Here is a 13,241-nt window from a genome sequence, read left to right as displayed (position 1 = left end):
CAAGTGAAGCCAAAGCCGGCGCCCTCCCACCAGACGGGGCTCGCGCCCGGGGACGCTAGTCCGACTCCCGGCTTCCCGCAACCCGGCCCCAAAGGCCTAAAAATAGGCTCAGCGTGGCGGCCGGGGCCGGGGCGGGCGGCGGAGGAGCCGGGCGGAGGCCGCAGTATCCCCGCCTCGGAGCCCCTGCTTCCTGGGGTTCCGGGCCGCCAGAGGCCGGGGCAGCTCCCCACGATGCCGCTGCGCCCCGGACTCCCGCCTGGAACCCCCAGGGGAACCGGCTCCCCACCCCCACACGGCCCCGCCGCAGCTGCTCCGCCCGCCGGCCCTTCGCCGTGAGAGCAAGAGGAAGGACGAGGAGACGGAAGCAGGAACGAGAGCTCCGGCCGAGGGCCCGGGCTCTGCCCGGCTGCCCCATCCCTGCACTCTGGGGGGCGGCGGGGCGGCAGCTGACGCAGGCAGAAACACGCCCGGCTGCGGCCAGCCAGCAACTTTGCGGCGGTTTCGTCCTGCCGGGAACACTCCGGGGCTGAGGGCGGAGGAGAAGGGAGGCGGCGGCTGGGCAGGAAGCCGGGGTCCCGGGGCTGGCGGCGGCGGGCTGCGCGGCGGTACCTGTCATGGTGCTGCCGGGTGCGCAGGCGGCCGGGGCAGCCTCAGGTTGGTGACTCAGAGAAGCCGGCACCGGGAGGGAGCGCGGCCAGCGAGGAGGCACGGCGGGGAACCGAGCGTCTGCCCCGTGCGCTCTTATAGCGGCCGTCACGTGGCCGCGCACGCTCTCGCTGCCGTCCGCATCCTCCCAGCTGCGCGGCCGGCAGGGGCGGTGGCCCGCGGGGCTCCGGGTCCCGCGTCTCCCTCGGCTCCTCCTCCCTCCCTCGGGGCTAGGCTGCCGCTGCGGCTGCGGCTCACCGGCGCCCCTGCTCCTACTTCCCCGGGGCGCCTGCCCTTGTCAACCGCGCGCCCCCTGTCGCCGCTAAACCTGGGAGTTAAGGGGGACTTTGGGGCTGAGTGCGGCATCAAACTCCCCAAGAAGCCAAGGGTTAGGGAACCTTAAAAAACAAGCAAACAAACCCCAGATTACTCTAGTTAAAATCGTGAGTCTGAACTGCTTGAATGAAACGTAAAATTTACGCTTTTTTTGCAGAATTTCGATCAGCCTCTATAATCATTCCTTAGTGTACTCACAATGGTTTTGTACCCTTAACCTAAAAAATATAGTGAATATTTCGTAAATGTTAAATTCTTGGAGCCATCTGCATCAATTAGGCATTTAAGTGCTTCATTTAATCCTTGTACGAACTCAGTGAGGTGTTACATATTCATTTTACAGACGAGGAGGAAACTGAGCTCAGAAAAGTTAAATTAACTTTTCTTTTCTTTTTTTTCTTGTATTTTTAGTAGAGACAGAGTTTCACCATGTTGGCCAGCCTGGTCTGGAACTCCTGGCCTCAAGTGATCTGCCAGCCTTAGCCTCCCAAAGTGCTAACTTTTCTATAGTCATATAATATAAATGGAGAAAGTAGGATTTAAACCCTGGCAGTTTGGTTACAGAATCAACCTTCCCACCCAGAAAGTCTTGGTGCCTCTTGTACACAGGGGCTCCAAAAAGGTTAGTAAATTATTGTAACTGTGGTTAGCCAATGCTAACCTGTTTCACAAATCTTGAAATGGTCAATTTGTCATTTTTCTAGGAAGTTGAGAAATAGCTTTAATGTGATCACATCCTTCTCTGCTCCCCATCCCCAGTCCAAACACAGAACAAGCCTCGGGTAGTTCAGTTCTCTGCAAACTGAAAACTGAAATTGCTCGGTAAATGTTGAATGAGTACTGCAAAGCCATTTGGAAACCAATCAGGAAGTTGACATCAGTTCAAAAAGCAAAACAGATGCTTAAGAATAAGTGATTTATTTGCAAAGGTGGTACTGCTGTCCTCAAACCAGTTATATCACTGTTTCCTCGTGTGTGGGTGTGGATCTCCTACATCAGAATCACTTGGGGGCACTGGTTAAAGCGTAGATTTTTGGGCCTAAGCCCAGACCTCCTGAATCAGAATCTTAAGGGTAGGTTTATTTTGGTGCAAAATAATTTTGAAATCCATGCATTTTTTTTTTATAATATGTATATTCTATGGACTTTTTGAAGTCGCGTCATATACTCTTGAGGTAATGAAATACTCTGTAGGCATAATCATTATATATTTTTAATATAAAAAGCTGTTCAAAATATATTATTTGAAGAAAAACAGGTTACAAAACAAAAAGAATCTTAAGGGTAGAACCTTAAAATCAGTATTTTAAATATCACCTTCCAGGAGCCTCTCTTGAGTCCTTCCTAGTCTTGACCATGGCCTAGAGACCGCTGATCACATGGGAGGCCCTCCCAGTTACTTGGCATTATGTGCTTCCGTTGTAGGAAACAGAAAAGTGGAAAGGGCAATAGATGGGTTTCCACTTATTCAAAAGATATAGACATAGAAGAGTTGGAGCTCTTTAAGGAACACAAAGGCTACACTTTTGTATCTTAAGTGGGGAGAGGGAAAACAAAGAGAGGTACTTCTCAGTCTGATTGCTCTTTTGCAGACTGAGAGGTGAACTTGGAAGAGTGAGATTTCCATCTTTCACCCAGAACCCTCCTGCCATCAGCTGACCCTTAACCATCTACTTCTTGCAGCCTACTATCTCAGGCTGGACTTAGCCAGGGATGTGGTGATGGGGCTGAAAGGGCAAAGCCAGGAGGTAGAACTGGGGACAACTGGGAAAAACAGAAAAGCTTCCCTTAGAACAAGCTCCTCTCTGCTGCAACTCCCAGGACGTTTAAGTAAAAGGAACGGTTACCACAGCTTCCCTTCCTGAGCTTCATGTATATTTACACAAATAGAAAGTTTACAGCTTTTACCACTTTGAATCAAATAGGGACATTTTGAGGTTGCTACAATCTGTTCTTCTTCATTGTCTTAATATAGATCATAATGACCCCACTGCCTACTTTTCCTGAGGCTGCCCTGCAGTGAGCTTCAGTCTGGTGTGAGAGCAAGACCTCTCAAACTTTAATGCGCACACAGATTGCCCAAGGATCTTATTAAAATGCGGATTCTGACTCAGTAGTTTGGGGGTGGGTCTCCCAGGTGATCCCCAGGCTATGGACCCACACTTTGAATAGTGAGGTGTTCAAACATTTTGGATTGTAAGGCCTTAGAGGTAGTGGATAAACATGGTATAGTGAGGCAAATGTTTCAGATTTTAGCTTGTTATTTTTTTTCTTGTGAAACTTGAACTAGTAAAATTACAGAATCCTAAAAGAAAGATTTAAGTTAAAAAAGATAAGTTATACCCTACATCAGTAGGCATGACTATTAACCATTTAAACCTATGCTGAATTCATATATTCGGAATGGTCCAAAATTCATTTTAAATTGGCTTTGTAATGCATTATGTAATTTTTTTGGCAGGATACTTACCTTCCTAATTAAGTTTTGTTTAAGATAATGCTGAAATCAGTTTGCATTCTTTTGAGCACACACACTAATTGATGGTGGGGGCAACTGACCTGGAAATATATTCCGGAGCAGAGGGCAACCTACTCGCCTGAGAATCAAATGGTTCCCACGGAAAGTTTGTGAAATACATATACCACATCTGGCCAGACACAGGAACTAACTAGTCAACTAACTTAAAATTTTGCCCTTAATTGATAACATACACAATCTGTACCTGGGATTGTTGTCGGTAATCACAATATCAAGCAAAAGTTTGGTTTCAAGAAATAATATCCTTGGAGGCCCAAAGTAGTCCGTTCTTCACTTGAAAGCTAGAGTCCCAAACTCCAAAAGTTGCAGTAGCCTGATGGCTGGTTACATAGCTTTTTTTTTTAATCCTTATTGTTACATAACTCACATTGTGTAAAATTCAGCCACTTGTGCTGAATTAAAGTGTATACCTAAATGGTTTTTAGTGTATTCACAGAGTTGTACAACTATTACCACAATCTAAGTTTAGAACAATTTCATCAACCCAAAAGAAATCTGTACCCATTAGCAGTCACTCCTTACTCTCTTCTTCTTTCCCTCAGTCCTGGGCAACTACTAATCTACTTTCTGTCTAAACATTTGTCTATTGAGATTTACCTATATGTTGTCTTGTGTAACTGGTTTCTTTCATTTAGCATAATGTTTTCAAAGTTCTTCCATGTTGTGAAACGTATCAATATTTCATTTCTTGGCCAGGTGCAGTGGCTCACGTCTCTATTGCAGCACTTTGGGAGGCTGAGGCAGGCAGATCACCTGAGGTCAGGAGTTCAAGACCAGCCTGGCTAACATGGCGAAACACCATCTCTACTAAAAATACAAAAATTAGCCGGGCATAGTGGCACACACCTATAATCCCAGTTACTCAGGAGGCTGAAGCAGGAGAATCGCTTGAACACGGGAGGGGTTGCAGTGAGGCAAGATTGCGCCACTGCTCTCCAGCCTGGGTGACAGGGTGAGACTTTGTCTCAAAAAAAAGAAAAAAAATGGCAGAAGCCGAGCCGGGCCGGCCGGGCGAGCGGGGAGGAGGAGGAGCCGGGCGGGCTGGCGGGCGGCCGGGTGGCGGCGGCGGCATGGCGGAGCCGAGCGGGGCCGAGACGAGGCCCCCCATTCGGGTCACCGTCAAGACCCCCAAGGACAAGGAGGAAATTGTGATCTGCGATCGAGCCTCGGTCAAGGAGTTCAAAGAGGAAATCTCCCGGAGGTTTAAGGCTCAGCAGGATCAGCTGGTCCTGATCTTGTCAGGCAAGATCCTCAAGGATGGGGACACACTGAACCAGCACGGAATCAAGGACGGGCTCACTGTCCATCTGGTCATCAAGACCCCTCAGAAGGCTCAAGATCCAGCTGCTGCCACTGCTTCTTCCCCCTCCACACCTGACCCTGCCTCAGCACCCTCCACCACGCCTGCTTCACCCACCACCCCTACCCAGCCCTCCACCTCTGACAGTGCCTCTTCGGATGCTGGCAGTGGAAGCCGGAGGAGCAGTGGTGGGGGGCCCTCTCCAGGGACTGGGGAGGGATCCCCCAGTGCTACTGCGTCCATACTCTCTGGCTTTGGGGGCATCCTGGGGCTGGGCAGCCTGGGCCTGGGCTCTGCCAACTTCATGGAGCTGCAGCAGCAGATGCAGAGGCAGCTGATGTCCAATCCTGAGATGCTGTTGCAGATCATGGAGAACCCCCTGGTCCAGGATATGATGTCTAACCCTGACCTGATGCGTCACATGATTATTGCCAAACCCCAGATGCAGCAGTTGATGGAGCGGAACCCTGAGATCAGCCACATGCTCAATAACCCTGAACTCATGAGGCAGACAATGGAGCTTGCTCGGAATCCAGCCGTGATGCAAGAGATGATGCGGAACCAGGACCGGGCCCTGAGCAACCTTGAGAGCATCCCTGGAGGGTATAATGCCCTCCGCCGCATGTACACGGACATCCAGGAGCCCATGTTCAGTGCTGCCCGGGAACAGTTTGGCAACAATCCCTTCTCTTCCCTGGCCGGGAACTCCGACAGCTCATCCTCCCAGCCTCTGCGGACTGAGAATCGAGAGCCCCTCCCTAACCCCTGGAGCCCCTCGCCCCCCACCTCCCAGGCCCCCGGGTCCGGTGGGGAGGGCACCGGAGGATCGGGGACCAGCCAGGTGCACCCGACAGTCTTGAACCCCTTTGGGATCAATGCGGCTAGCCTGAGGTCAGGGATGTTCAATAGCCCAGAAATGCAAGCCCTCCTCCAGCAGATCTCTGAGAACCCCCAGCTGATGCAGAATGTGATCTCAGCACCCTACATGCGCAGCATGATGCAGACGCTTGCCCAGAACCCCGACTTCGCTGCTCAGATGATGGTGAATGTGCCGCTCTTCGCGGGGAACCCCCAACTGCAGGAGCAGCTCCGCCTGCAGCTCCCAGTCTTCCTGCAGCAGATGCAGAACCCAGAGTCACTCTCCATCCTTACCAATCCCCGAGCCATGCAGGCATTGCTGCAGATCCAGCAGGGACTACAGACCTTGCAGACCGAGGCCCCTGGGCTGGTACCCAGCCTTGTCTCCTTCGGGATGTCCCGGACCCCAGCACCCTCAGCAGGCAGCAACGCAGGGTCTACGCCCGAGGCCCCCACTTCCTCACCAGCCACGCCAGCCACATCTTCTCCAACAGGGGCTTCCAGCACCCAGCAGCAACTCATGCAGCAGATGATCCAGCTTTTGGCTGGAAGTGGAAACTCACAGGTGCAGACGTCAGAAGTGAGATTTCAGCAGCAGCTGGAGCAGCTCAACTCCATGGGCTTCATCAATCGTGAGGCCAACCTGCAGGCCCTGATTGCCACAGGAGGGGACATCAACGCAGCTATCGAGAGACTGCTGGGCTCCCAGCTCTCCTAATCCCTCGTCCCATGCCTCCTGCCTCTCCCCTCCCTCGATGTCAGCATTCGGTTCTTCTGTCAATCCTTACCCTCTGCAGCTTGTCATCCCTTCCGTCTTCTCCCTCATCCTTTCCAAACAGCAGGGTGACTTTAGAGACATGGGCTCCAACCCCTTAGCTCTGTCTGAGAATTATGGTTTTACTGCTACGTCTCTAACAGAATCTTCTCTCCTGGTCTCCTTGAGCAGTGCTACTTAAACAGTTTTCACAGTTTCATTGATTGACTCTACCTCCTTGCCCCACACCACTTTTGCAATCTTTAAACTTTCAGTGGCTGTGCAGAGTCGAGGGAGGAACCAGCTCTCTGGTTTACTGGAACATAGTCTTCCATCTATACCACTAGGGTTTTGTCTTATGTTTACTTTTGGTAACTCTCTTCCTTCTTTTTCTCCCTACCCCCCAACCCCTAGCCCAACCAATGCTAGAATTTCTCGCTCTGAAGGAGGAGCAGGTGAAACAGGTGGTAATTTTCCTCCTCGGCCCCTATTCTGGTTCATTCAGCACTTTTTGGTGGGAACTGTTGGAAATTCCAGGGTAAGGAGGAAGACGCCTGTTCTCCCTGTCTGAAGAGGGAGATGAGAGAGCTCTCTGGACAGGAATTAACAAACCCTGGAGCAGCTCAGAGGAAATTGATGTGAAAGAGGAGGGAATGAGATTATTCGGAGGAGGGGAATGGGGGAGACAGCCTGAGTAAAAGGCTTGGAAGTTGGAATTAACAGTGGGGAGCAGAAGCACTCGTAGCTCTTTTAGGCAGAAGAATCCAGGCCCAAGCTGGCAGAAGAGACTTAGAGATGCTAATGGAATTTAAACTGAAGAAAGGAGCTCAATGAAGCTAAGCGCCACGCCCCACAAGGGGTCATATTGGCTTTAGTTCCTCAAGCACATGTGCTTATATGCACACACACACACATTTCCATGGACCCAGGTCTTGCTTGTGTCCCCAGGCACCAGTAATTTGAGCCCCCCTCAAAAGACATGAAGGGGGTTGGGGTCTGTGTGAGTAGTGGGGAGGTGCATGTGTATCCACATGTGTGCATACACTCTTAAGTTGGGTGGGAAGTGGATTCCTTGTTGGTTTCTGGTTCAGAGTGCTCTCCCACCACCAGAGACAAGTGGGTAAAAAGGTCAGTCCATTGCAGGAATATATATCTGGGAGAGCTAGGTCCCTTGGAGCTCTGGATGCTGGGTAACCCAGAGGTAATGTGGGTACCCTTTCTGAAGCTGTCAGGGCTGTGACTAGCACCCTTATCACCCCTCACTGCCTTGTGGGAATAGTAGAGGGTTTTTTTCCTCCAGAGCCCCTGGCCTTTCAGTTCTTAACTATTTCCCTCCAGGCCAGAAAGTTTTCTTTGAGGAAGGAGAGGAGAGGGTGGCAATGATGCCTTTGATCTGGAATTGGACATTGCTCTGTCAGAGCACAGAGGAGGCTCATATCACCTCTTCCCTCTCCTACTTGGCCCAGCTGCTTGGAGGACCGACCCCATGGCTGAGAATATGACGGCAAGAGGAACAGAGTTTGCTCCAAGTGGGAAAGGGTCCCAAGCAGTCCAGAGAAGATGTCTGTGTGGCTTTCCCTCCCTGCCTCCCCCAGCTCCCACACTGGCCTTTGTAAATAAATGGCGTGGTCTTTGTTGTGAAAAAAAAAATTCATTTCTTTTTTATTGCCAAATAATATTTCATTATGGGTATACCACATTTTGTTTATCCATTCATTATGGATGAACATGTTGGTGGACATTTGGGTAGTTTCCACTCTGGCTGGTATGAATAATGCTGCTGTGAACATTTGTGTTCAAATTTTTGCATTGACATATTTTTTTTCCTAAATATATACAAAGAGTAGAATTGCTAGATCATGTGGTAATTCTATGTTTAACATTTTAGGAACTGCCAGACTGTTTTCCAGAACATCTGTATCATTTTTCATTTCCACCAGCAATGTATGATGGTTCAAATTTCTTCGTTTCTTAGCCAACATTTGTTGTTGTCTGAAGTGATATCTCGTTGTGATTCTTATTTGCATTTCTCTAGTGACTTTTGATATTGATTATCTTTTCATGTGCTTACTAACCATGTGTACAACTTCTTTGGAGAAATGTCTATTCAAACCCTTTGCTCACTTTTTAATTGGGTTTACTTTGTTATTGAGTTGTAAAATTTCTTTGTCTAGACGCAAATCTTTTATCAGCTATATGATTTGCAAATATATTCTCTCATTCTGCGAGTTAACTTTTCATATTCTTGGTAGTATTGTTTGTAGCATAGAAGTTTTAAATTTTGATATAGTCCAATTTATTTTTCTTCTGTTGCTTCTGTTTTTGGTGTCATACCTAGGAAACTATTGCCTAACCAAAAGTCATGAAGATTTACTCCTATGTTTTCTTCAGGAGTTTTGTAGTTTTAGCTTTTAAAATTATGTCCATAGTCCATTTTGAGTTAATTTTTGTTAAGTTTTTTATGTTGTGAAGTAGGAGTTCAGGTTTTTTCTTTTGTGTGTGAACATTGAGTTGTTCCAATACCATCTGTTGAAAAGACTATTCTTTTCCCACTGAATTGTCTTGGCACGATTATGAAAAATCAATTGATCATAAATGTGACTAAATTCAATTTCTGGAATCAATTCTATTTCATTGATTTATATGTCAATCCTAATGTTAGTTCCACACCATCTTGATTTCTGTAGCTTTCTAGTAACTTTGAAATTTGGAAATGTGAACGAATTTTGTTCTTCTGAGGGCCGGGCACCGTGGTTCACACCTGTAATCCTAGCATTTTGGGAGGCTGAGATGGGTGGATAACCTGAGGTCAGGAGTTTGAGACCAGCCTGCCAAAATGGCGAAACACCGTCGCTACTAAAAATATAAAAATTAGCCGGGTGTGGTGGCTACTCTGGAGGCTGAGGCAAGAAGAGAATCACTGAACCCAGGAGGCAGAGGTTGCAGTGAGCCGAGATCGTGCCACTGCACTCCAGCCTGGGTGACAGAGCAAGACCCCATTTCAAAAAAAATTTTTTTAAATAAATAAATAAAAATAAAATCTTAAAAAATTTTTTCTTCTTTTTCAAGATTGTTTTGGCTATTCTGGGTAATTTGCATTTCCATATGAATTTTAGGGTCAGTTTATAAGTTTCTGAAACAAAGAAAGCTGGGCTTTTGATAAGGATTTCATTGAATTTGTAGATCAGTTTGGGGAGTATTGCCAACTTAACAGCTTAAACCTGCTTTTTTTTTTTTTTGAGACAGAGTCTTGTTCTGTCACCCAGGCTAGAGTGCAGTGGCGCGATCTTGGCCCACTGCAACCTCTGCCTCCCAGGTTCAGGTAATTCTCCCTGCCTCAGCTTCCCAAGTAGCTGGGATTACAGGCACCTGGCACCATGCCCAGCTAATTTTTGTATTTTTAGTAGAGACAGGGTTTCACCATGCTGGCCAGGCTGGTCTTGAACTCCTGACCTCAGGTGATCCACCTGCCTTGAACTCTCAAAGTGCTGGGATTACAGGCATGAGCCACCGTGCCCAGCCTTACAGCTTATGCCTTCTAATCCATGAACATGGGATGTCTTTTTATTTACCGAGATAGTCTTCAGTTTCTTCCAATAATGCTTTGTAGTGCATTGCCTTTTTTTTTTTGAGATGGAGTCTCACTCTGTCGCCAGGCTGGAGTGCAGTGGCATGATCTCAGCTCACTGCAACCTCCGCCTCCTGGGTTCAAGTGATTTTCCTGCCACAGACTCCCGAGTAGCTGAGACCACAGGCGTGTGCCACCACACCCGGCTAATTTTTTATATTTTTAGTAGAGACGGGGTTTCTCTGTTAGCCAGGATGGTCTCGATCTCCTGACCTTGTGATCCACCCGCCCTGGCTTCCCAGAGTGCTGGGATTACAGGCGTGAGCCACTGTGCCCAGCCTGTGCATTGCCTTTTAAAACAGGTAACAAAACCCAAAATTGGGTCTGTTCGCTATATAAACCCCATGGGCATGACAACTGATTTTCATGTGTGTCAGATATTCTAAATTTATGCTGGTATCTAAAATCTGATTATCATGGAGCTTTATACATAGAGTAACATTGCTTTGGTCCTTCATAAGACAACTTTTACAAAACTGTACTTTGGCATTATCATTAGTAATAACTACCACTTAACCTGATACTAAGGTTCTTTTACATATTAACACATTTAACCTTTCCAGTGATCGAATGAGGCAGATATTCTGCAATCCCCACTTCAGAGATAAGGCACAGAGCTTGCCCACTATACTGTAACTGGTAGTTTGTACAGCTGTGATTTGAACCAGGGAGCCTGCTTCCCCAGTCTGTACAATTAAGCACTGTTTGGTAATATGTATGGGGTGTCCACTGCTCAAAAGCTGCAAAAGGGTATGTGTACAATGAAGTAACTCTTATCTGCCACCTTTGTCCTCCAGCCACCAGGTTCTCTTTCCTAGAGTGGCATTCTGTTCTTGGCTTTCTCTGTGGCTCTAAGGGTGCCTCAGAAATCTCACTATCATGGCTTTTCCAATGTGCCATTGAAGACATTCACTATGTTATGCAATTTCCTCTATTGAAAGATCCATGGGAAAATTGTCACACTGGTCATCATATCAAAAATAAATGTTGCATTTCCTTAACACTTAGATTTTTCTTTATTTCATAGAAACTTTGATGTTTATAAGTATATCAAACACATAGAATACATGTTTTCCTCTTTTGGGAGGCCAATTAGAAACTTGGAGCAAAATTTGTAGCCACTTCTAGTCATTATTTAGGCTCTCTACCCTGCATTTATTTATCTATGCTTTAACTTTTTTCCCATTATTATACTTGCCTCACTTATTTATGAAGTTGTTTGAGATCCTTTGGAAGTAGGAGGGAATGGGGAGTTAATTAGTAAATAATTAAATGATAAGAGGGTTTCTAGTGGGAGTAGAACGGAAAGATGAAATTCAGCTCAATTTCGGTGACTTTGGAGGTTTTTCTAGTGATTTGTTAGTAAAATGAATATTTCATAAATTAAAGAGGCATAGTTATTGATCCAGACACGGGAATAATTTTCTGTAATTAGTTAAAATCCTGGGCTGGGCCCAGGGGCCCACGCCTGTGATCCCAGCACTGTGGGAGACTGAGGCAGGAGGATTGCTTGAAACCAGCCTGGGTGACACTGCGAGACCCAGTCTCTACAAAAAATAAAAAATTAGCTGGGTGTGATAGGGTGTGATGGTGGGTGCCTATAATTCCTAGGGAGAGGTTTAGTTGGGAAGATTTTTTTTGAGCCCAGGAGCTTGAGATTATAGTGAGCTATGATAGTGCCATTGTCCTCCAGCTTGGGCAACAGAGCAAAAACCTTGTCTCTAAAAAAATAAAAAGAAAAATACAGTGAATGCTTGATCTTTTCATCTTACTTTTATTACGTGTTCTGCCGGTAATGTAATAACAACATGATAGTGGTCAAAAAGAAGGATAAGATTGTCCAGGATCTCTAACTCTCAGTCCTTCAAATATATTTCACCTTTCAAACTTTGGTTACCATATTTGTGATCTTTTAGTTCATGGGTTAAATCATTTGGCAGTTACTTTTTCTTTAAAATCAACTTTATTGAAATAAAATCTATATACAATAAAAGTCACTTTTTAAAAGTAAAAAATTCAATGAGCTGTGATAGATATAAACTATCACCACAGGTATAACCATCTCCACAATCATTCACAAAACTTCCCTCTCTGCCTTTATGGTTAATCCCATTCCCTGTCCCCTGGCAAATGTAGCTCTGATTTCTGTCCATATAGATTTGCCTTTTCAAGAATTTAATACAAATGTAATAAAAGAGTATGTAGTCTTTTGTGTCTGTTTTTTTTTCTCAGTGTAATGCTTTTGAGATTTATTCATGTTGTTGAACGTATCATTGGTTCATTCCTTTGTATTGCTGAGCAGAATTATTTTGTGTGCATATATCACAGTGTATTTATTCACTTGCCAGAAGATGGACATTTGCAGCACTGTTTGTGCCAATATAAGATATGCAAACAACCTAAATAACCGTTAATAGGGGTCAGGTTAAATAAACTATAATATATCCATGCAATAAAATACTATGCTATGCATCTGTAGAAAGCAATAATAATAATGACTGCTCTTAATGTCTATGATAGAATGTTCTCCAAACTATATTGTAAAAGAAAAAAATAAGGTACCTGCGACAGACTAGGAATAGAGGGGAACTTCCTCAACTCAATAAAAAACATCTACAAAAAACCTACAGCTAACATCATACTTAATGGTGACAAATTGGAAGCTTTGCTCCTATGATTAGGAACAAGGCAAGGCTGTTCTCTCTCAATGCTGCCTTTCAACATTGTGCTGAAAGTCCTAGCAACAAGAGGAGAAAATAAAATCAAAAGTATGCAGATTGGGAAGGAATAAGTAAAACTGGTTTTGTTAAAAAATGACATGATTATACAGAAAATTCAAAAGAGTAGACAAAATGACTCCTAGAACTAATAAGCAATTATAGCAAGGTTGTAGGATACAAGGCTAATATATAAAAATCAATCACTTTCCTATATATCAGTAATGAACAAGTAGAATTTGAAATTAAAAACATAATGCCATTTACATTAACACCTTCAAAAATAAAATACTTGGGTTGAAATCTAAGAAAGTATGTACAAGATCTATATGAGGAAAACTTGATGAAAGATATCAAAGAATAATTAAATAAATGGAGAGATAGTCCATGTTCATGAATAGTATCTCAGTCTGTGCTGCTATAACAAAATATGATAAGCTGAGTAGCTTAAAAACAACAGAAAT

General features: G+C 45.5%; 1 protein-coding gene and 1 pseudogene across 4 annotated transcripts in view, besides 1 other annotated feature; one reads left to right on the top strand and one right to left on the bottom strand.

Moving 5' to 3' along the window:
* Window positions 1-717, bottom strand: part of GYG1 (glycogenin 1) — a 40,236-nt gene extending 39,519 nt beyond the window's left edge. For all 4 annotated transcript variants that reach the window (NM_004130.4, NM_001184720.2, NM_001184721.2 and 1 more), the window contains exon 1: window positions 610-717. In NM_004130.4, coding sequence (NP_004121.2) covers window positions 610-616 — 7 coding nt within the window. In that variant the 5' untranslated portion in view covers window positions 617-717. The remainder of the gene's footprint in view (window positions 1-609) is intronic.
* Window positions 29-1,078: a silencer, noted in NCBI's record as "silent region_14802". NCBI's record gives its function as "represses an Ori minimal core promoter by ATAC-STARR-seq in GM12878 lymphoblastoid cells {active_cell/tissue: GM12878}" and the evidence as "EXISTENCE:reporter gene assay evidence [ECO:0000049][PMID:35858748]".
* On the top strand, window positions 4,507-8,073 carry UBQLN4P1 (ubiquilin 4 pseudogene 1; annotated as a pseudogene).

This window comes from Homo sapiens, chromosome 3 (genome assembly GCF_000001405.40).
Source record: "Homo sapiens chromosome 3, GRCh38.p14 Primary Assembly".
In the NCBI taxonomy this organism is placed as follows: domain Eukaryota; kingdom Metazoa; phylum Chordata; class Mammalia; order Primates; family Hominidae; genus Homo; species Homo sapiens.
The sequence above is the reverse complement of the archived record's forward strand: the minus strand, read 5'-3'. Positions and strand labels throughout refer to the sequence as shown.